Source organism: Homo sapiens, chromosome 20 (genome assembly GCF_000001405.40).
Source record: "Homo sapiens chromosome 20, GRCh38.p14 Primary Assembly".
Lineage (NCBI taxonomy): Eukaryota > Metazoa > Chordata > Mammalia > Primates > Hominidae > Homo > Homo sapiens.
This window is the reverse complement of record NC_000020.11, coordinates 15,550,994-15,575,677: the sequence shown is the minus strand read 5'-3', so window position 1 is coordinate 15,575,677 and position 24,684 is coordinate 15,550,994. Positions and strand designations below refer to the sequence as shown.

At 38.1% G+C, this 24,684-nt stretch overlaps 1 protein-coding gene across 5 annotated transcripts in view, besides 1 other annotated feature; it reads right to left on the bottom strand.

Moving 5' to 3' along the window:
• The window catches only part of MACROD2 (mono-ADP ribosylhydrolase 2), a 2,057,682-nt gene that overhangs the window by 477,520 nt on the left and 1,555,478 nt on the right, over positions 1-24,684 (bottom strand). The window lies entirely within an intron of this gene.
• Positions 13,533-14,075: an enhancer, noted in NCBI's record as "OCT4-NANOG hESC enhancer chr20:15542248-15542790 (GRCh37/hg19 assembly coordinates)". NCBI's record gives its function as "activates a minimal SCP1, AML or CMV promoter by ChIP-STARR-seq in naive H9 embryonic stem cells {active_cell/tissue: H9 hESC(naive)}" and the evidence as "EXISTENCE:reporter gene assay evidence [ECO:0000049][PMID:30033119]".

Here is a 24,684-nt window from a genome sequence, read left to right as displayed (position 1 = left end):
TTAAAATCATTTCAAAGTCTACCCTATCTTTAAAAACACATATTACAAATGCCTTTCATAAATCAGTGCTATAGAAAAGTTGCCTCTCCTGATGATCCAGTAGGTTTCCCTACTCCAGCACCACTCCAACCAGAACTAAGTAATCCATCATTTCTCCTTTCTGCCTCCACTGCCCAGGGCTCTCAGTAAGATCTCTGGCTTAGCCCTAGGTCCTCACTAGAGCTGGTATTCATTCATCCATGGTATTCATTTATGCATGGTATTCATTCATTCTTGGTATTCATTCATTCATGGTATTCATTCATTCTGCTGGTAAATGTTTGCCTTCCTTCACCCACAACTTTTAACTTTCTATTTTAATGATGTTATAATACATGTGCCTTGTGTTATCAGACAGCTTCAAATGCATTTCGGAAGCAGAGTCCAAATCACAAGCAGAAAATATGAAAGTGGATCCTTATTTAAGAGCTCTGAAAGCAAACCTTGCAAGAAAAAAATATAACAAAACAAAAACAGCTTTTCTATTAAAACGAAATGCTCTGATCACTTGTTCCTCAAGGCAGCAGAATTTGATTGTTCACTGGGAGAGAATGGCTACCTTTCTTTTCTAGATGAGTAAAAGACGTGGTAAAATTAACTTTGAGCTTATATCTATGGAGGCTGCAAAACATGATATAGGTACGTACATATAAAGAGAAAGAAAGTCGAAAGCAAATTTCTAGATAGGAGAGGAACATTTATACCTTGGAGCTCAGTAATAAAATAAATAACAGCTGAGTCTAATTTCATACATGACCTTGTTAAATTAGAAGAAAATGAAGCGACTAGCAAAAGAATCTGAAACAAATGCAGCCATTTGCTCATGCCTGATAACTGGATTTTCCAGTTATGAAATTCATTTCATCTTCAGATTTCAAGCATACTGAGAATGGACCCTTGAAGGCTGAAGCCACACCTCAATACAAGGAAAGTACGGGGGTTTTCATGGGGAAGAAAAGCAAAAACTATTAGAATTGATGCAATGAAGTCCAAGCCCTGTATGATTTGGATTGCCCTGAGGCTGAAATGATAGAAATTTAAACCAGGAGATTCCCAATTGCGAGAGCTAAAAATCTTCTAAAACATTCCTATGCTTTCATGGTGTGTTAACTTTCTTCTCCTCAGACTGAACAAAACACCATTAGTGCTTGTCTACATTCTTCATATAAATATTAAGAAATTTAATCTTCAAATTCAGGTAAAATACATGTTTATGAAAAAAGCCAACTAAATATAACCCTATCTTATAAGATGAGAGGAAGAAAGAGAAAGAATGTGTGTCTCTGGAATATATTCCAAACTCTAGATGATTTCAGAGTTGTTCTTGGAATTATGTTTTTTAATGAAAATAATTAAGAGCTGATGTTTCTCTCACTGTGTTTTATCACCAGAATTCAGCATGGCTTCCTGGGGTAAAAAAAAATCATTATGACATGCCAAGTATGCAGTATTGGCCCAAAGTTGGTGGATACTACCTGGTGTCTGCACATGCTTGGAATTTTATGAAATAGCACATGATTTTTTTTGTAGTCAATTATGCTCAGAGATTAGTGGTAAGAGTAGTATTGCCAAAAGCACCCGCAGAAAAAGTGTACTTATTAATTATCCCCTCATGCTGGACCAAGGTCTAAGGTGTGTAACTATTGGAAATGTCACACACAAAATCACACTGAGCTGAACCTTTTGGATTGGTTGAGATTCAAGAGAAACATGAGTGGATATTCCAAAAATTTTTAAACATTACTCTAAGAATCAGGTGGGAGAGTGAAATTGTCACAGATGCCTGTCAATACAATGTTATGAAGGCATGATTACAGTTTGGCTACACCATTCCAAGTGCCAGAGTTCCCTAAGCGCAGGAGAGGAATAAGGGTGTGTGGTGGGGAGAGTATCAGGAAAATAGGGAAGGAGATTCAGAAGGGGGAGGCTCACAAGGGGGTTGCTTGATGAGGCCTAAGGAACCAAAGGGTAGGAGTATGGCTTAGGTAAAATCACTTTAACACATTTCAGATTTACCTAGCAGATAAGGCTTCTTCAATAGAATTGTTTATCTGGCTGAGTTTTACAATTCCTCTACTCTTCTTCCAAACAACTACTTATAAGGGAGTTCTTGGCCTCTCTCATCCTAGGCTGTCTTCTTTCTATGCCTTGATTAGAGAACTAAGGAAAGGAAACTAGAGAAAAACCTTTGCTGATTTTCCTATGAAATATTCCTAACAGAACACAGTAATTTGAAATCTGTGCACGTACTCCTATAAAAAGCTGATGCCAGCCCTTCTTACAATGAACTTGCTTTTATTCTCAGGGGAAAAAGCAAAACAATAGAAACAAAAGTTTATTTTCATTATATTTTCATTAAGAAAAATACTATTTTGTTTTGGCATGTGAAGGCATATAATGCTGCTATTAAAAAGTGATGTTCACTTGGTTTAAAACGACATGGGAAAACACCATAGTTTATGGCTTAGTGAAATATAACATGAGTGAGACTGGAATGAACTATGCCAACACATTGCAGTTATTTTGGTGTTAGGATGGTGGGGTATTTCTTTATGTGCCTTACGGTGTTCCAAATTTTCTGCAATTAGCCTTCTTTATTATTTAATGATATTGTTTTGAAAAGTACTCTTGTGGTTTTCATTCTGGCACTTTTCAATTTATTGGTAATACAAATATTATTGGTTCTATTTTGTAATAAGGTAATGTGGATAAGATGTCTTTATAATTTGAATTTTTCTGTAGTTAAAAATTGATTTACTTGCATTTACAGGGTCCTCAGATGAAGTTTCCTCCTGGGGCTACATCTTTCTCAGGCTTTGCATGTCACTTTGATAATATGCTGACTAAAAACATACACTCCATCAATTTCAGTAAGTTGGCAGTGAATTTCTTTAGCAGAATCGCTTTTCACATTCAAATATAAAATAAGTGTGGGTTCTCATGCATTCATGCGAAATACTTATTTTAAACTAAAAGCATATAAAATCATAGTACAGATAATATAATTTAAAGGTATATCAAAATAACTGTACTGTTAGTATAAACAAACCAAATAAACTAATTTATAAGGAAATATTTTCAGACTCAGCTCTTCTGAGAAATTAGCTAAATTTACCAGCAGTTCTTATCAGAGTGAATAAACCTTAGACAGATTACAATGAACTTCACTGAAGTTTGTTTTTAATTTTTATATTCTGCTTTTCAGAAATTAACTTTGGAAATTACATATGAGAAATGGTTAATTTTAAAGATGATTTTACTTTGCACAAGTATATTACTAAAGGAATTACTTTAAGAACAGGTTTCATTGCAAATTTGAGAATAAAACAAAGAAATTCTCTTGGTGGCTAATGGATTTATGATTTACAAGAGTGAACACTGATTCATATGAGGGCTTGGCAAGTGTTCATGCTGTCATTTCCAGGATACATACCCTTCCCCTTACCTGAGAAATCTGAGTGAATATATACAGGGCTTTCAATCATATTTGTACAGTGAAAAGCTCCCTTTCCTTTTGATTAAACTGAAAAGAGTTTAAATTTTGTGAAAGGGGTGTTTACCAACATACATGATGGGTTCCTTTTTCAATACTGTGAAGAACACATTTCTCAAAGTTGGCCCTTTGATTCCAGGGGATGTTAATAGCTGCTCATGCTAACAAACAAAAAACTGGTCAAAATAAGTTTGGGAAAAAAACTGTGGTCAAAATAAGTTTCGTAAATGTGATGTTAGTGTTAAACACTTTTTAAAAAAATTACAGAACTTGCCAGAAAACTTAATGACATGTTTATTTTTAGTCTTCAAGAGAAAAGTAAAGCATCGTATTTCCCCCTATCTGTCTGACCAAGTAATCCTTGCAGATTAGTTCTCTAAGAATATACTTTGGAAAACAGTATGTTTCCAAGTTCAAATAACACAAGTTCCATCTCCCATCCTCATATGGCCAATGTTATTCCATATATTTCATGTGATCATTTGGGGCCCTCTCAAACAAATGCCTTCCATTATCTGCTACAGATACAGAGGCACAAGAAGCAAAATTTAATTTTTCACCAGTATGAGGATCTAAATGTCTCAATATCTGGTTTAGTTCTTCTTTTTAAACTTAAAAATATTAAAATATAAAGTTTATAACTAAGATAAAACTAGATATTTGTAATGCAATTAGTAGGGTGTATTTTCCTAACAAAGTAACATTTCCAAAAAAAAAGAAAAAACAGGGAAACTGCAAACATTTTCAAGAGGAACACATCTATCTACAGAGATACATCTGTAAAATAAACCAAAGAAAAGGAATAAAGTATGGGGGAAGATATTTGGAAAATAATCATTTCTGTCTCAACCTCTTTGACTTACATAAATCTAAATAGAAATCCAGAGATTATAACCATTTTTCCTTTCAAGGACATCCAAACTGTTTCCAGCTATCTGCAGGCTTCCAGATGTACAAATAGCACCATGTTAAAAATAAAATAGTGGCTTCAGTAAAAAGTATTTCTGTATTGACCTACAATTGTAGATTAAAATATACCTTAAGAGTTAAATTTCTTTAGCAGAGTTTTAACTACTAGGGGATTCTGAAGATAGTATCCCAAGCCAGCGGGTACAAGAAAAGATGATAATAGTGGGTAGAAAGAAAAACATACTAAGGTTAAATAATTGAAATACTGAGGTAATTATCTATTTTCCCCTTTAGTGCTTTAGTGGATATGTGTTGATCCCCTGCTACCTTTTTTTCCTTTTCTTTTCTTTTTTTTGTCTGTGGATCTGGCAACAACCTCTACTTTTTAGTTTGATCTATGAAACCAATCACCACATCACAAGCCATAGCCATTGCTTCAGGGCCGGGCATGTGACCTAAATTGGTCCAATTCGAGTGAATCTGAGGATTTTTGAGGATGCAAGAAAGGATTCTAATACTTCTTTTGCTAAACTTGAATGAACCTGAGAATTTCTAAAGCTAGGGCCAACATGTAGTGGCTCAACATAAAGCCAGCATGGAGAACAACACAATAGTGAAAGAAAAAGTGTGAGTGCCAATGCAGTGTTTTGAGTGCTGAATCCAAGTGTAACTGGAGCCAGTCCTTCCCCTGGACTTTTAGTTGCTAGAGCCAATCAATTTCTTTTCTTGCTTGAGCTGGTTTGAATTGGGTTCTCAGTCGTTCATAACTAAAAGATGTACATACGAGTTGTAGTCATTCTATTCTCCGTCCCCCATCAAGACTGATCCCCAAGCCTATAAATCTGTGACAGTGTACATATTAGAGAACTTTGCTCAGACTGGTTAAAACTATTTCAAAGTGCCAACATTCTAAGAGCTACATGAAGAAATGCTCAACATCACTAATCATCAAGAAAACGCAAATTAAAACCACACAAAACCAAATTAAAACCTCACATTTGCTTGAATGGCTATTATAAAAAATATGAAAGACAACAAGTGTTGGCAAGGCTGTAGAGAAAAGGAAACCCTTGCACACCATCTGTGGAAATGTACATTAATACAGCCATTACGGAAAACAATAGGAATTGTTTCATATATTATACAAATTTCAATATGAATTGAAAACATATGTACATTTTTTGAGGTTCCTCAAAAAATAAAACTACCATATAATCCAGCAATCCCACTACCAAGTAGATATCCAAAGGAAATAAAATTAATATGTCAAAGAGATATCTGCAGTCTCCTATTTATTGCAGTATCATTCACTATACCCAAGATATGGAATCAACCTAAGTGCCCATCAACAGTTGAACGAATAAATAAAATGTGGTATATATATACAATGGAATACTATTCAGCCATACAAGAAGGAAATCCTGTCATTTGCAGTAGAATGAACCTGTCTAACACTGTATGTCGGCACGGTTGCTTACTCAGTGACCCAGACTAACAAATGGTCTACATCTTTGTGAAGCTACCACTTCAAAATATAGCTAAATCTGGAGGACGTAATGCTAAACAAAATAAGCCAGGCACAGAAAAAACAAATGCTGCATGATCTCACTTCTTATATGCAGATCCAAAAAATCTGATCTCATCGCAGCAGAGCGTAGAATGGTGGTTACCAGGGACTTGGGTGGCTGGGGAACAGGGACTAGAGGGGTGATCAAAGAATACAAAATTTCAGTTGGATAGAAAGAATAAGTTAAACATCTATCGTACAACATGGTGACTATAGTTAATAACAACAGATTGTATTCTTAAAAAATGCTAAAGAATTAAAGTTATGTGTTCTTACCACAAAAACGATAATACCTGTGTTAATTAGCTAGATTTAGTCCTTCCACAGCATTTATATATAACTCAAAACATCCTGTTACACATGATAAATATATACAATTTTATCTGTCAATTAAAAAATAATTAAGAAATAAAAGTGAACATTTTTCCAGGAAAACAAAGATTCACAAAACCCCCAAAATGCAAACTTTTCTACACAGCCCCCATACACCGTGGAAACTTACACTTCTGATCAACCAATGTGAAACTGAGGGATAGAACCATTCAGGGCAGGAGTTAACCAGAAGACCCTCCCTCATCCTTCTCTACAATTTCTTGGTTGAACTCTAACTTCAGAATTATTGGGGGAAGTCACGTGCTGGTCAAGGCCTTCAGTAAGATTTTTTGTCTCCTTTCTCTCAGGCTGTGATCATGACATGGCAGGGAAAGAGGAACAGCAGCTGTGGATGAGGAGGCCCCTTAATCTTTTGGATTCTAAAATCCTGGTGTTCCCAAGCTCCAACCTGTATTCACAAGACTTAAGCTAGAAGATTCTTCTGATAACTTACAGATCATACCCATAGAGACTGATCTTGGCATCTAGGAAAGACTGGGGCTAAAACCATCTATAGTTGCTTATTAACAGGAGCCCCAAGTCTGAGTTTGATGGTCAGGAAAACATCATTGTAGGAGCACATATCTCCTGTGAGATATTTATCTTATGTGTGACCTTGCGTTTCCCAGCCTCTCTTGCAGTTCATTTGGAACTACATGACTAGCTCTGATCAAAGGGCCATAAGCATGAGTAATATGCATCACTTCTGAACAAAACTGATGTGCCCTGCTACTGCTCTCTTCCTAAGCCATGAAGTCCCTAGAGGCCCTATGTTGAGGGTGGCAGCATCACAGAGAAATAAGCCATTTGTTAGTGTAGGTCACTGAGCAGCCAACGGTGTTGACACACACTGTTAGACATAGGGTAAGAGCAAGGGATAAAGTCTCTGTGTGTCTAGTCACTGAACATTCCACGTGAGTTTGTTATATGGCACAGCCTAGCCTACACTGACTAATGCATCAACTAGAAAGGAAAACAATGTGTTGTATACAGATGTGTCCTCTACCCTGAAGGCCTGGACCCCAGCAATCTCCATTTTACCAGGAAAGAAACACAAAGGATGAGAGGTCTGAGATTTCCTCGAAACTCTCAATAGAACTTCTGAAGTCCATGGACATCTTTGCCATGATAGAGAAATGGTAGGATAGGAGATAGCAAGTCCACAGGAAACACAGGGCTTTTCCTATGTAGAAATTTAGAGCCAGAACCCCAGGCCCTGTGGCTCATAACCAACTAAAGTCAACAGAAAATTTACCTGTTGAAGCACATTAATATATTTTTGGATTCTCCTTCAGAATTCACAAACTGATGACCCACAGACGTATTTAGCTGGTACAGTCTTTCTTAATTTGAAGTAAATTTGCCAGTATTTAAGATTCAGGAGATTTCACCAACAAAAAATCTGAATTTCCAGCTTCTTCTTAAAGGCAAGAAGAAGTGATAACTCTGAGCCCACATTCTGACCTGGTACCATTCACTGGAGCAGAGAAACAGCTGCCCTCTTTAAGCAGGCCAAGTTTTCCCTTTCACTATGGTACCCAGTGCGAGTTTCACTCATGTGCTACCACCTGGACCTTGTAGGTATTTGAGTGACTGGCTTTTAAACAGACTCTCTAAGATATAATCCTCCAATACTGAAAACTTACGAGGCAGTTGTGGCAGTCACATTAAGGCCTTCAAGTTGTTGCCAGAGTATCCTGCAATACACTACAGAAGTGATCATTAAAAGGTACCCAGGAGTCTGGAAAGGGTGAAAGCACATGAACAAGGTTCCTGATTTACTCCCAGGGAGTGGTTTATATACTATGATAATCTGGGAGGTATTCGCATTCTCTATTATTCCCAGGTGTTGGCAGCGCGTCCTGGCATCTCAAGTGCTGAGCCACATGGAGGCCACATCCGTGGCTTTATCCCAGCCTCCTGGAGCACATTTGCCTGACATAAACACTCAGATATCTACATCAGCTGAGTGGATTATATGCACTGGCCAACTAGATGACCAGATTCTCCTTCCCTTCATGAATGAAAGAGAACAATATTTTTATATAATTCATAAAATAATAAAGTCTTGACTAACTAAATTGTACTTATTCATGGGAAAGTTCAAAATATTTACTTTAACTATTAATATATGAATCAAAACCAAGTTATTTTAACTAGAGCCAGTGTATTTAAATAATTTTCTGAAAAAAAAAACCCCACAATAGTTATTTAAAACAGAGGAGGATAAAATGCTTAAAATGTTTTTCTTTCAGTCATAAATCTGCTTAGTAAAATACAAAAAACATTAAAAAAAAGATCTGGCTTTTCCACTTTCTCACTTCTGAATTTTTATTTGTTTATTTCAGTATGAGAATCATTTGAGATACAGGGTATAGTTAGTTTTGCTGATCAGGTAAGTGTAAGCAGACAGACACAGTAAGAACTACGAAAGGAAACAGTGTAACTATGGTAAATTACTGCATAATTGGAAAAGAACTACTTGGAGTATTAGAAGAGACCTGCAGATAAACAGGGGAGGCTTTTGAGATAAGTTTCAGAGTGATGCTTATTCACACAAATGATTAACTGAAGGATGTTTTCTTGGCCTAAGCAATAAGATGGAAATGATGACAGGGCAAACTACTGGGAATGCCAAGAGCTTTTCTTCTTCTTTTAATGACAAGAAATACAAAGGTAGAATGGAGTTAGAAGGGAACGTATGAGACTGGAAAAAGTCCTGAACACAGAGGTCCCAGTCATACAGTAAGCAAAATCAGTTTCAATTTCAAACTGGGAATTGTTCCCTTTTTTTTTTTTGGAGACAGAGTCTCACTCTGTTGCCCAGGTTGGAGTGCAGTGGCACAATCTTGGTTCACTGCAACCTCCTCCTCCCGGGTTCAAGCTATTCTCATGCCTCAGCCTCCCGAGTAGCTGGGATTACAGGCGCACATCACCACACCCGGCTAATTTTTATTTTTGTTTTTTAGTAGAGACGGTGGGGGGTGGGTTTCGCCATGTTGGCCAGGCTGGTCTTGAACTCTTGGCCTCAAGGAATCCACTGGCTTCAGCCTCCCAGAGTGCTTGGATTACAGGCATGAGCCACCGTGCCCAGCCTCTGGGGATTGTATTTCTAATGGGGTTTCACTAATGAGTAAATGGATATCAACTGCATATATTATTTTTAAGAACAAGCTTGGGTATGGTAACAGCTTTTTAAATTAATGATTTTTTTCCTCTACTTTTACTGTGGCCATAAGCAGATGTCCAACTTTTTCACAGAACTGTAGTGCTGAAAGAAGCTCAGAGATCACGTGCCTGAGTCGTTTTATTTCACAGATAAGGCAAATGAGGTCACAGGGCTAAGAAATGGCAGGAAAAGGATTAGTACTCTGAGTCCTAACTGCAAACCCAGTGTGGCTTGGTAAAGTAGACCAGGTTTTCCCCTTACAGCACTACTAAAAGAATACCAGGCTGAGTGCAGTGGCTCATGCCTGTAGGAGGGTCACTTGAGGCCAGCCTGGGCAATACAGCCAGACCGCGTCTGTAAAATATTAAAATTAAAAAATTAGCCACGTGGGAGGCTGAGGCAGGAGGATTGCTTGAGCCCAGGAATTTGAGGCTGCAGTAAGCTACGATAGTGCCGCTGAACTCTAGCCTGTGTAACAGAGTGAGACCTTGTCTCTAAACAAACAAACAAAAAAAGAATACCAACTGTACCCATGACTTGTTGCTCAGCTGACAAGTCTACTTTCTATATCTCAAGAAACTACATACACAAGTATCTTACAGTTTGAAAGGATCTCACACTATTTGGTATTTTATTTAATATGCTAAAATAATTATTTCAGTGAATGCACCTACTCACTCATCATCTCAGAAATTCCAAACAAATATGTAGATAAGAAAATTCTGTGAAGTAATCACCATATAAACATGAAGTTTGCAGAAAATCATTTATGGTTACAGCCATGTTTATAAATAAATGTGCATATTCAACCTAAAAGCAACTTTAGACTCCTTGCGTGTTTACCTCTTTAGATACTCAGAGATCTCTAGGGATTTATTTTCAGATGAACATTTGCATTTGAAATGCTTCCTGTTGGTAATCTGTAAGATGCAAGTTAGTTACCAGAAAAGCAGAAGCACAACAGAGTTTGGTGAGCAGTGACACAGCGGTCACGTAACAGCTCTTGGTGGCAGGCTTGCTGGGGTAGCTGCTCCATATTGTCTTTTAAAATACTGTATTTTTGAAAGCAGCTTCATGATATCCCAGAGCTAACTGGAGATGGCAATTAAATGCAATGGATCCAGTACATTTGCCAGGAAAACTGGCAAAATTTAAAGGTGAATTGTGGATTAAACAACAGTATTTTACTCACTATAATTTTGTAGCATGGTAGTTTATCTGGGGTCATGTAAGAAAATATTCTTGTACATAGGAAACACTCAATTATTTAAAAGTAAAGTGGCAAGATGTTCATAACTTATTGTCATTGTTCAAGGGAAAAATACATATATAATGACAAAAAGCATATGGGAAAAATGTTCAAAATGTTGACAACTGGTAACTCTGGTAAACATATTACCAGCCTTCTCTCCAGCATTCTTGCAACTTTTCTGTAAGATTGTGATTATATTAAAATAAAAAGAAGAAAAAGCATTTTCATGAAACCATTTTATTTTCACCTCATATCATGATTTTGCAGGCATTCCTTATGTGTTAGTCTTGTTCTATTTCCCACATTTGTTGACACGGTACCTACAATTGCCTGCTAACATGCTTTTAAACCCAGCTGCGAAATGTGCTATAAGTAATGTCAGAGGTACAATAAAAAAGATCCAAAGTGGGTAGTAGCATGAAAATACATTTTCAACTTGTAAATTAAAGTGGAAAGCAGAGAAATCAGAGTTTTTAAGCAGACATGAGCACACCATCTTTTTCATCATGCAAAAATTCTTCATATTTTCCTCAGCATATAACCAAAAAGTGACCTGCAGACATTTTGCTGTCAAAAAGATACCAGTGTTACGTCGGGTAGCATAGACAGATAGTGACAAAAATGAGCGAAGGTTCCTAGATGCACTGTCTGAAAGTCAGGCTGGTTTGGGGCTGGATTTTAATATACTTACCCCAGTTATCTTCACTTTCACAGTAACAGTGATGGCAACTGACAGTATAATTATCTTTCAAGGACTGAACTGGTCTAAGAAATATTCTTCTAGCGTGTCACACACTGTTGATATTAAACTGGCGACATGAGAAACCATCTGGAAAAAATCTGGGCATAAGGAAGTTTAGGGGATCTAATCCAAGCTGGGTTTTGGCTGATTTACTTCAGTTCACTCAAATCTCATTTAATAATATGAAATAACACACACGGAAAAAGGAAAGAAAAATGCTATCCTTTGTTCCAGCGCTGATTAAATGGAATCATATGCATGGAAAACAGTTTAAGGATTCCTTCATCCTTACCCTGCTTTCATTGATCATTTTGTTTCCTCTGCTAGTAAGACAAACAATGTGCTATATCCCTGTCTTTCAAACTACTTTTTAAAAGGTTTTTATAGTCAAGTATTTCCAGCAAAGAGCTAGAAGTGTGCAATAAAATATATTATTTTATGTCTTTGATCAATCCATACCACACTCTGTTAACTCATTTATTCTGCTAAGAAAATGCATTTTTCTTTTAAACTTAAAAAAGAGATTTTTCTCTGCTGTCTACTAAAGTGAAATATACTTTTTAATAGTTTTAGTGCCAAAATAATTTATAGTCTTTCTTTTAAGATGGTTTACTATGTATTCTTTCTTATTATGCTCAATGTTTGCAAGTTTCACATGAAGCCTGAATGCAAGCATGAAGAGTAGAGATGTTTAGAGAAAGGCTTTCTAAGGCCATAAAAGCAGGACACCAGGAACTAGGCATATTCATCTCTACTGGACTGGATATTAAGGGCATGGACCAGGTGTAAAATACAGAGAAAAAGAGGCTTTAGGAGGAGGGTTAGGAAGTCTTTCATAAGAAGGAGGATGGGACAGAAGAAGGGGGTTGCACAGCAAGCTAGACTAGTATCTCTCAGCTTTCTCCATCTTCTCTGATAGACATTGATATCAAGATATGAGAAGCACATCTTTCTAGTTCTTTGTTACCACCCAGTCCACAAGTGATGCTGTTCCTAAGGGCATCAACACTGCATCCTCATCAGCGAATAAGCATTTGTGCATGGCTGCATGCACACACATATTTCGAAGACCCCATTTGTCTGCCAGCCATAGCATCAGGAATAAAGGGGAAGCTGTTGGTTTTCTTTTGTAATTTCTTAGACCTATATAACTTTGTATTCTGCTCAAACTGTACGTTTCTACACAAACATGACATGCACCATAAGATGATCCCAGGCTCCCTCTGTCACTGGGTCTCCCTAGCTCCATCCAGATGCAACTATCTCCTTTCTAAGGATCATCCCCAAATTGCCCAAATCCATCTGACCCATCTTATTTTACTCAACACAATTCAAAGGTCTTATTTTCATCTCTGCCATGGAGATCATTTCCATTAGATAACACATAGAGAAAATGTCAATTGGACTTCAGCCTTACTCTGGAGCTACTTTTTAAAGTGGTCCTTCATTAAAGCATGCCCTAAGTAATCATCCCAATGATTAAAGACTTCAGAAAGTTTGCTGCTGCTGCTGCTTAAAACATTTAGAACAAATCACCTTTATGTACAGAAAGTAAAGTGATGAACTCCAACAAGCCTGTAACACACACACACAAACATTACCTTCCAATATTCATTCCCTTTCTGTCATGCATCTATATTATCACAGAATGGGATATTTTGGAATCTCTATGCTTGGATTTAGTTAAAAAATATTAGGAGACCTGGAAAGCTTAGGTGCACCTAATCATAGCTGCTGGCAAGAAATGTGGTGGAAAATGGGACTTTTCATACTAATTAACTTTGTATTCACACATGGGCTTCATTTTCCACATCACATACTTATATGAAGGCCCCACATCACAAAAGGGTTAGGATTCCATCAGAAACAAAGACAGCTGTAAAATCCTCACGTAGCTGCTCCAAGATGGACAGAGCTAGAAATATACCAAAAACTAAGGCTGGCTGGTGGGGGATGGGGGTGGGGCAGTAGGCAGCAGTCCCAATAGAAATAAGTATGGAAATATGAGACTTAAATGTTAAATTCTTTACAAGAATAAGTTGTTGTCTACACTCAAAAGAAATGTTCTATATGCAAAACTTTATTATGATCATATTGTTTCCAATGGTACGAGAGAGGCTGCTTCCTTCCAGAAATAAGTCAGGCCTGATTTTTATGCTGATTCAACATAATCTTGACAAACAAAGCAGCAAAGAGTTCTCTGCCAGGAAAGTACATGCATAATTGTTGAGATCTACTAAATAGTCTCTTGTTCAACACAGGGTGTCAAGCAGAGATGTTGCAGTAGCTGAGATAAAACAGCAGTGTGCTCTGTTCTTATTTTAATTCCCTCGGCACGCCCCAGGGTTCACATGGCTACGGAAGAAAAAGCAGCAGCTTTTCACCCCAGTATAGCTTGTCTAATGATAATTACTGATAAATAACTTAGCATAAAATAACAAAAGCCAAAGGCACTGCTTAAAAAATCTACCCTAACCATTTTTCTCCTTCTCATTTCATCTCTCTCATTCATTCATTTAAAAAAAAATTGATTTTCACGAAGGATAAAGGAAAATACCCTACTGAAGGCAGATGAGGCCCCAAACATACTGGTTTTAGGTAGCACAGACAGAACAGTATTACATTTTAGCCTAGTAGTACCAAGCAACATAGAGAATCTCCAAGAACATCAAAGCAAGTAACCACCCTACCCAGCCAGATTCAGCCCAAAATGTGAAACTTAGCTGTTGAGTAGTCAAAATGACAACATCACTACAAATTGCCAGCAAAATTCCAAAAGCTGAACTAATCTACAGATCCTGAGGAAAAGATTTTCTCTTATCTTTCTGGTTCACTTTGCATATGCTGCTGGAAAGCGAGAAAGCTAATTGCATAATTCATGCTTATTCCAATAAAATGCGTAATGACAGCAAGCCCAATTTACCAACACTTTGAAGAATAAGGATATTGAGGCAAAGGAGGTGAAGGCTGTGAAAAGACCATGAATGATGTCATTGAGTAGCGTTCTCTTACAATACTCACTGCCTCCATGTCAGGAAGTATGAGCTTCTGATGTTCCCTGACTACACCAAGAGTATCACAGTGTCTGTCTTAATGCCACATCCTCTTGGGATCTTTAAAATTTCTCCTTTGTTTGGGCAAATAATTTAAGTAAGAGCTCTTTTGTGGCCTTTTAGATCTAGACATCTGGAAACAAGTTGACTTTGATCATTTAGTTTATTCTTTCCCCTTTACTCAACCCATTCCCCTTCTGTTTTAGACATAAACCAGACCACCTAAAGCAAAATTATGTGTCCAAGAATGGAAAAAAAAATTGACCTATACAGAAAGACTATGATCAGTCTTTTTTTTTTTTTTTTTTTTTTTTTTTTTGAGACTTTGTTATGCCCTGTGGCCCAGGCTGGAGTGCAGTGGTGCAATCTAGTCCTGCTGCAACCTCTGCCTTCCAGATTCAAGTGATTCTCCTGCCTCAGCCTCCCGAGTCACTGGGATTACAGGCACACACCACCATGACTGGCTAATTTTGTATTTTTAGTGGAGGTGAGGTTTTAACCATGTTGGCCAGGCTGGTCTCAAACTCCTGACCTCAAGTTATCTTGCCTACCTCAGCCTCTCAAATGCTGGGATTATAGGCATGAGTCATTGAACTCAGCCCATGATCAGTCTTGACTTATTTCCAGGTTATTTTTCAATGGCAAAATCCCCCCAGCATCTAGCACTAGCATTACATCTTTTCTTTTTAATAATTGTTTTATCATCTTATCATATTCAGATAATATACTATAATTTTACAAAGTAATTTTTATTCTTCTTATTTTACAAATGAGTGACCTGAGTAGTACAGAGATTAAGAAACTCACCTAAATTTCCTCAGGTAGTTAACTGGTAGAGATGGGAGTCAAATTTGGGTCTCCTAATTTTACTCCAACACAATGTCTCTTACTTTCACAATTCTTTAGCCAGCCACAAATAGGCGAACAGGCATAAAATGATAGGAAAACATGGTTGCCCTTTTAAACTAGAAGAGACCACCATAGCCATATGTTTTGGTCAAAATCTTGAGATTTGAGGCAGAAAGTGACATGGATTATGGCTGTGGTGTCTTTAATTTTGATGAACTAAATAAAAAGTATTGCAGTTTGAGAATAATAAACCATCATAACTCTCTAACTTCCAAACCATGGATGAATTAAAAATATGTGCAAGAGTCAGAGATGAAAACATCAGCCTTCTAATTTGGAAGACTGGATTGCAAAATGTAGCTTGAACACAAGGTCAGAAGTCTTTCTATCCATTGACTCCATGTTTATAACTTGGACCTATAGATTGTTGAGAATTGGGTTTTCAGGACAGACAGGCAGAGAACTTCATAGAAAATTCCATCTCCTCACCCCTTATTGACCACTGTGAGCCCAAGAAGAGTGACTGTACATGCGCAGTGATGCTTAATGCACTGATTTTACTCAGCAGAAGAACATGGACCAATGGTTGTCAGGCTCTTGCCACTCAACCCGTCATCTCTCTTCCCATGAGAGAAGTCAGAGAACAATGGAGAGAATTCAGCTCTTTGTCCTCAATTCTTCCAAGGGTTGACAGAAGTTCTCATTTTATGGGGTGGCAAGAATATGGGAAATGGGTGAGGAGATGGAGCAAATGTAAACCTACTTTGGTCTTAAATAAGATTGCGATTTCAATATTTAAACTCAAAAATAACAATGATTCTATTTTACTCAACTAACATTTGTTTGATGCATTTAGTGATCCTACTCCAGAGATTGATTTAATCATGACTATTCTTTATTTAATATTTTATTCACTCTTGTTATCTAATTGTTCTAGGCTCTTACCTTCATCCACACATGTGATAGTCAGCCTGAGAATCTTTTTTTTTTTTTTTTTTTTTTTTTTGAGACGGAGTTTCGCTCTGTCGCCCAGGCTGGAGTGCAGTGGCGCGATCTCGACTCACTGCAAGCTCCACCTCCCGGGTTCACGCCATTCTCCTGCCTCAGCCTCCCGTGTAGCTGGGACTACAGGCGTGCGCCACCATGCCCAGCTAATTTTTGTATTTTTAGTAGAGACGGGGTTTCACCATGTTAGCTAGGATGGTCTCGATCTCCTGACCTCGTGATCCGCCCGTCTCGGCCTCCCAAAGTGAGAATCTTTAATGCATTATACAAAAAGGAAAATGTGATCCTAGTAGCATAACTAAATGGTTCAGTCAGAGTTTTGCAATAATTCAACAAAATGTTTAATTTTGATAGTCACTTAAACTAATCTTTTCTTTATAAGAAATACATATACACATATCAAAGAAATGATACTATCAGGGCTTCAGTAACATTTTTAATGTAGGAAAGAATTTCAGACACAGAGTTAGAATTCAGTGGGCTGCCTGAAGTTTTCTTTCCTAACCAACACTTCTTGAGCTCAGCCAATGGGAGGAAGAGTTATGTTATCAAAGGAATATAACTTTTCAAATTCTGGTGAGGCCACTAAAAGATAAGGGAAAGGGGGAAAAATAATAACACACTGGTTTCATATGAAACATATGAAACCACGTTTCAATGTAGCCAAAATGAGCCCCTTCACCAAGATGTGGGTTGGGGGAACCCCAGCACCTTTGGCAAGTGTTTTAGAGGCTGTTCTCTGCAGGCCAGTGTGGGACAAAGCATTAGGTTGGTGCAAAAGTAATTGTGTTTTTTGCCATTGAAAGTAATAGCAAAACCCGCTATTACTTTTGCAACAACCTAATAGAAATGCCTGAGGATTTCAGTGCAGGAGGGAAGGTGCTGGGGTGGCTCAGGCCACAGATTGAAAGTTTGGCAGCTGGGGCAGAGTGGTCCTGAAGAGAGCACAGTAGGCAAGAAGTCAGCAGGATAATCAGAATGGAATGGCCACTGAGGTCTTTAGTGGTGGTGAAGTGCTCATAGTCTGGCTAGAGCCAAAGTACACGGGCAGCCCAAGATGGGCTTGATTGCTTTGGGCCAGGATCTAATGAATTTCCATTGACACGATAGTAGAGAAACCCTGAGTGTCTTACCTGATTTCTGACTCTTGTCATCTTTTTATATCTTAGTTATGCTTACCACATAGAATTGGGTAGAGATTGATTGAGATTTGAGTAAAGCGTATTACAGTGCCTAACATATAGTAGCCACACATTAGATTATTACTATGTGAGTTTGTCCCAGTTGAAAGTGCTTTCTGAGTGGTCGTCTTTATGAGGGGGAAGTTGATGACTCCTACATAACATGGCTGGGGATGAACAAAGGAGCAAAATGTGCCAGATTGCCCGACAATGGTAATCTGCTGGAGTTCAGTAAGACAAACAAATAGCTCAGAGACCAGGGGATATTCTAACAGCTGCACCAAATTAAGCCCAATTCCCCCTTCTGTACTCTCTGTGTTCCATCATGAGTTCAGAAAGATAAACTCTGAGACCAATTCAGTTTGCTCTCTATAGTAAACATGTGTGACCATTACTTGGGCTAAAGTTTCTATTGGCCCTTTGGCTTAGGTCCTAGAATGTCTGACTTAGCTCTAGGGTCTCAGGTAACCACAGATTTTTAAAGCTCTGGTTTGGGGATGACCCAAGGGGCCAATGGTAAGCTTGCTAAATCTGTGTGTCAGGGGAAAAAACAAAAGATTATGCTTACATTTCTTGTCTTTGGTGTGTGTGTTTGCTGTTTCTTCTTGTGGGGTACCCCTTTTATTTTTTTCTCTCTCTGCATCTGAAGTGTAGATATTCTTCTACATGTTATATCTAAGTAATAGAATCAGGAACTGTAAAACTACCTAATCAAAGAATGAAGAGAAAGTAGAGGTCCTAACCCGTATCTTGTCCTAGCCTGTATTTTATAGCCTGGGCTAAATTTTACTAAACAGAATTGTTCCTAAGGAAAACATTTTTTTTTTTTTTTTAAGGAATCTCCAAATTTGCCTACTTAAAATGGAGTGCCCCGTTGAATGTGGCTTTTTGAATGAAGAAATGCAGAGAAGTGAATTTTACTGCAATGATGAATCAGCACAATTATTTGCATATGAATTTTATGTTGCTGCCAATTCCTCTTTAATTATGATTGTATGACTCATCAATCCATGGCTGTATGACTGATTGGAGCCCTCCCTACTTGCAATGGTCAAGCTAATATGGGTCCTAGATAGGTAAAATTGAAATTCATGGAAAAAGCCCCAAACAGTAAATAAAGTTGGAAACTGATTCTAAGGGCAAGAGTTCTTCCCTTTTTCCTAACACACATCAATCTTACACTGAAGTCTGGATTCAAGTTCACTGTAGCAAATTACCATCAATCAAGAAAGAGAGAGAAGTCAGAACACAGTGAGGGTCCATTGACCAGAGAGGAATCCCACAATGTATTGAGTTTATACCCACATTTGTTCTTAATAAGAAAACTGTAATCACAGGATAAACAGAAACAGAGGCAGTGATTCTTTTTGGTAATATCTCCCAAATGCTTTTCTTATTTTCTAAAACATGAATACTAAGCACACAGCCAGTGTGAAGTACATTGTAACATATAAGAGCTAAAATTCAAATGGGTCTCTTCCAATATTTTTATCATTGAAGAACTTCATTACTACAAATCATGCATGCCATTTAACCAAAACTATTTTAGAAAGTAGTATATAATTGCTAGTTACCAACAACTGGGCACCATGAATACACAGAGGTTATTTTATCAGTGGATAAACAGCTTCAGTTTAAGCAAAGATTTTGGGAAAAAAAAAACCAGATGTCTTAGTATAAATCAAGAGATCCATGATTCTTTAAGTAAACACAGTGCCCTAAATCCATCATTTATATTGGTGTAACCAGCATTCCAGAAACACATATCATAAATGAACGAGCCTCTCACACAACCCTGTACTCTGAGAAGCCAGAAGGTTTAATCCCCAAATAGATTAAACTAGACAGATGGGTAAAACTGTTTACAGTGTTCCCAGAATGGCTGTTTTTGTGACATGCCTCAAAGAGGACACAGATGCATATGACCCATTTTAATTTTCCTTCTCTAAGCCTCTCTGCTTTACTGAGCCAAGCATGGTTCAGAAGCAGGTCTGAATAAGTCAGGAATGCATGAGTTCCAAAGAGTCCCATTTAGGACCTGAGAGAAATAAAGATCAGGCAACGAATCCTGAGTAAGCTATCCCCAAATCAAATAAACATGTTCTTCATTTGGAGATTATGCCATGATATAAATGTCACACACACTTTCAATCCCAGTTAATTTATGGTTCTTTCCTTTTCTTTTCTTTTCCTTTTTTTTTTTTTTTTTTTTTTTTTTGAGATGGAGTCTCAGTCTGTCACCCAGGCTGGAGTGCAGTGGCGCAATCTTGGCTCACTGCAACCTCCGCCTTCCAGGTTCAAGCAATTCTCCTGCCTCAGCCTCCCGAGTAGCTGGGACTACAGGTGCCTAGCTAATTTTTTGTATTTTAGTAGAGATGGGGTTTCACCGTGTTGTGCTGGTTATTTCTAATGTCATTTTTTAGATAAATGAGATAAGCTCAGAGTATCTTTCAAAATTCATTGTCCCAACTATCAACCCCTTACCTGTTCCTCTAGACTTTCAGTGATATGTTTTGCACTAGCAGAGGGCAGAACCCATCCATCACTCCCCATGATCAACAGTTACAGTATGTGCCTCTTTTATTTTCCTGGAAAATGCTAGATCATGCCAGAAGTATGGCTTTAAAAGTGTATTAAACTGTATTGATAAAACCGTAAACTAGTTGCAAGAAGAAGGCACTCAAGTGAAAATGTCAAGTTCAAATGATAGTCTACAAGCAGGACAGCTTTCAAATCCCATTATGACTCTCCACATCCCTATTCCAAAAGAGGGACTGGAATTGGTCATTATTCTGATTGGGAAATAGATATCAGAGAATAGGAGGGCTTCTCTACCACAGGGCTGCAGTTGGCTCTTGTGTAAGCTTCCACCCCTGGCCGCCTCTCACTCCCTCCTCACCCACCCACTGGGATCCCCTTCACACACTCCTTCTTCCCCCATTAATAGACACACTCATACCCCTTTACACTCTGTCTTTAGAGATTTGCTATATCCTAAGGTATAAAATCAAGAATAACTCAAATTCCACTGATAGAAATGTAGCATCTGCATTTTAGTTGCAATGCTGCAAGAAGCAGGGGTTTCTCTCCCTTAAAGATTTGTATGGTTTGAAATGAATAAAAGATAAGGCTATGAACATAGCACAGGGTTCAGAAGATTAGTATGCATGTAGCTGTTTATTCCCTCCAAGGCTAAACAGCTAAAGTCATTTCCTTCCAAATGAAGGTATTTTAGGACATTTTTATTCAGCGTTCAGAATTTAAACTCATGCCCTCCTTAAATGGCCCAGCTTGCTACTTCAGTTCCATTTAACCTTCCTACCCTTCCTCACATTTCCAAAAGAAGAAATTTAAAAATAATAAACTGCACCTAAAGGGCCATAATCTAGTTCATTAAATCATTCCAACAAACAATAGTCCTAAGCATACAAGTTATATAACCATGTTTTGTTTAAGAAAATGAATATTATATAATTTGATATTTCTTTTTTTTTTTTTTTGGCCAAATAGGACTACCATGATGTATAGGTTCTAAAGCCAAAAATATGAAACTTATTTGATGGAAAAGTTAACATACCAAGTTTTTATCTAAGGTGAAGTCCATTCAGATTTACAAGGCTATAAATTATCTAGCTATATTCAAGTGACATATTTTAGATTTATCTTTTTGATAAATAAAGAGTCCTTTGTGGGCAGAGAGAAATGTAATACAAAACAACTCTGCCAAAACTGCCTTCCTTCTTTAAGCACTATACCGGAGCAAATTCCTCTCTCTTCACCTTCACCATTAGATTTACTCTTCCTCCTATAGCCCCAGATTTAGCTGTGCTGATCAGAACTGTGGGCAATATTAGCACTGTCTCTCTCTATGCCACTTCTCATACCAAATAAGTACTAAGCCTCATCTATTCTAACTCCTACATCTCTTTCCAGTCCAGCCATGCCTCCACATCTCCATTGCCATTCTTGCCATTATTTCTCATGTGGATTACAGCATAGCCCTCTCCCTTATTTTTCTGATCCCTGTTTTGCTGGCTTTGATCCATTCTTCCTAGTGTCTGCAGAGTGGCCATGTGAAACTGCTAAACTGAATCTGTCCTAATGCCTAAAATTTCTCTGCTTCTTGTCTGCTGTAACTCTTCAGATGAAGTCTCCAGGCCTAAACAGTATTCAACGGCCTACAAGTCCTGATTCTTGTCCGTGCCTCTATCTGCTTTATTCTGTAGGACATTGATCTTTTTTTGCAATTCTTTGAATATAAACTCATTCTTGAATATGCTTCTTTTACTCAATAAATACTTCCAAAATACCCAAGGTGGCCGGGCACGTCCACAATGTGCCCAGCATGCCTGTAATCCTGGAATTTTGGGAGGCTGAGGCAGGTGGATCGCTTGATCTTAGGAGTTCAGGACTGGCCTGGGCAACATGGTGGAACCCCAACTCTACTAAAAATTACAAAAATTAGCTGGGCATGGTGGTGTGTGCCTGTAGTCCCAGCTACTTGGGAGGCTGAGGTAGGAGATCGCTCAAGCCCCAGAGGCAGAGGTTGCAGTGAGCTATCACCACCACTGCATTCCAGCCTGGGTGACAGAGTGAGACTCTATCTCGAACAAATAAACAAACAAATACCCATCATATGCCAGGTTTTGTGCTAGATGTTGAGAAACAGGGGTGAACACAGTCTTTCTGACCCTATGTATTCCTGCAGTAATGGGACTTCCTCTAGCATAGCATGCCCCAATCTGAATTATAATTGACATGATTTGTCCATATCACCATTAGAATCTAAGCTCTATGATGGAGAGGGATGGGTTATGTTTATTTTGTCGACTCGTGTGTTCTCAGTCCCTAGCAGAAAGCCTGGCACCTAGTAGGGGTTCCAGAAATTTTTGAGTAAATTACCATGTTATTTATAACATAAATTTACCAGTTGCCTGTTAATAGATCTAAAAAGAATAATTTCCTGTGCACTTCCCCTCAGCAGAGTAAATTTCCAACAACATATAATTACACTTTCTCTGGAAATTTTTAGTCTTTGTAATTGTCTTAGTTTGAGTTCCCTCAAAAGCAGACCCTGAGACAAAGACTTGGATTCAGTTAGTTTATTTGGGATGATCCCAGGAAGAACAGGGGAGGTGATAGGAAAGGCAACTGAGAAGGGAGAAATCCAATAAGAGGAGTTTTAACGAGAGGGTAACCCATGTAGGCAACTGAGGCTCAGATTTTTTCTGAGGACTCATATAGGACATTCTTAAAACAGTGCCAATGAGGGACTGAGATACCAGATTATTTATTCAGTGAATCTTCTCCCATATTGATTAAGGGATGCCCTTGGAGGCATTAAATTCTTGTCACTTCTAGGCTGCTATTCACCAGAACTGAGTAAAACTACCATGGCACTGTAGAAGTCCCCAGGAAAGGAGTGGGAGATGGAGGTTTTTGACATGGAAGCTGTCTGTGTTATCTGGGAACTGTCCATGAAGGCTGCAGGTAAACTCAGCTGGGCCAAGGGAAACAGAGTAGGCATCCTTATCAACTGCCATGCACACCTTCACATACAGCATTAAAAACAAAAACACCCCAAAACCTAACATCCTGAGTGCCTACCACTTTGTTTCTAGTATTCACTTAATAGCAGATTGGAGTATTGCGGAATAATGAGAGATTTTCAAGAAATCAGGATTCTCTGAGGACCAGATCTAGTTTGGTGATGACTAAAAGGGCCATGGACAGGAAAAGATCATTTAAAGATTTCAGAATGGTCAAGAAAACTAAAGAAAGACTGTGAACATCTATGCACGTTTACAAGCTGTCAATAAACAAGCTGAAGAATACACCAAAGGCCCAGATGCTACTTCTGGCAAGGCAGTGATAATTCCTCTGTCTTCCAAAAAAGAGAAGAACTTCTAGAAACCTATGAGGAGGGGAGGAAAACATGTGTTCCTACTCCATATACTTACCTAACTTCCCTAGCTCTAATTAATTCATAAAGCATACCTTTTTATAAAAGAGGCTTAATCATAGATTTCCTTGAAGAAAAAAATGTATGCATATAAAAATTTGAAGAAGATTTTCTCCTTATATGAAAGTAATAAGTGCTTATATAATTATCATAAATAAAAAAGGAATAATAATCTGTTTACACAGAAATAAAATATTCTTTTTTTTTTTTTTTTTTGAGGCAGGGTCTCACTCTGTCTGCCAGGCTGGAGTGCAGGGATGCTAGTTCCGCTCACTGCAGCCTTGACCTCCTCAGGCTCAACTAATCCTCCTGCCTCAGCCTCCAAAGCAGCTGGGACCACAGGCCCACACCATCACATCCGGCTAAGTTTTTATTTTTTGTAGAGACGGGGTTCCGCCATGTTGCCCAGGCTGGTCTCTAACTCCTGATGCACCCGCCTTGGCCTCCCAAAGTGTTGAGATTACAGGCGTGAGCCACCGCGCCCAGCCTGAAAATATTCTGCTACATGAAACAACATGATGTGAGTAGAAATGTAAGGCACGCATCTGTAAAACTGAAGAATAAAAATACCAACATACACAAAACGTGAGCACATGTTTTAGTACATGTTTTTTCTCTTCGGTCCCTTCTGAAAGTCCACTAAAGTTATGGTAAAATAATAATATGATAAATAAATAAATAAAAGCCCACAAAGAGAATGAAAAACGAGGTGACAAAAGACAAGAGATGTAGTTTTTTTTTTTTTTTAAATATTAAATGAGAGATAACAGATAGTAAGGAAGAAGAACTGAAATAGGAGAGCCTGCTGAGAAGTAGTCAGAGTGTGTTGACTGTTGCCAGGGAACTCTGTAGAGGATTCTGAAGTGGAGATACCCAGTAGCCCTAAGCAAAGGGGTAAGGCTTAGGGCTGAAAACAGGGCGATCTGTTGAAAGCCTATAAATGGAGCAGCTGAACCTCCACAGCCCTCCCTGGCTTCACATTGCCTATCTCCTTCCCTACACCCACATGGAATGGGGACATAGGACATTTCAGTATCTCTAACACTTTCTTTTAAGTGAATCTGAATTATTTTCTTTATTCTTAAGAGGTT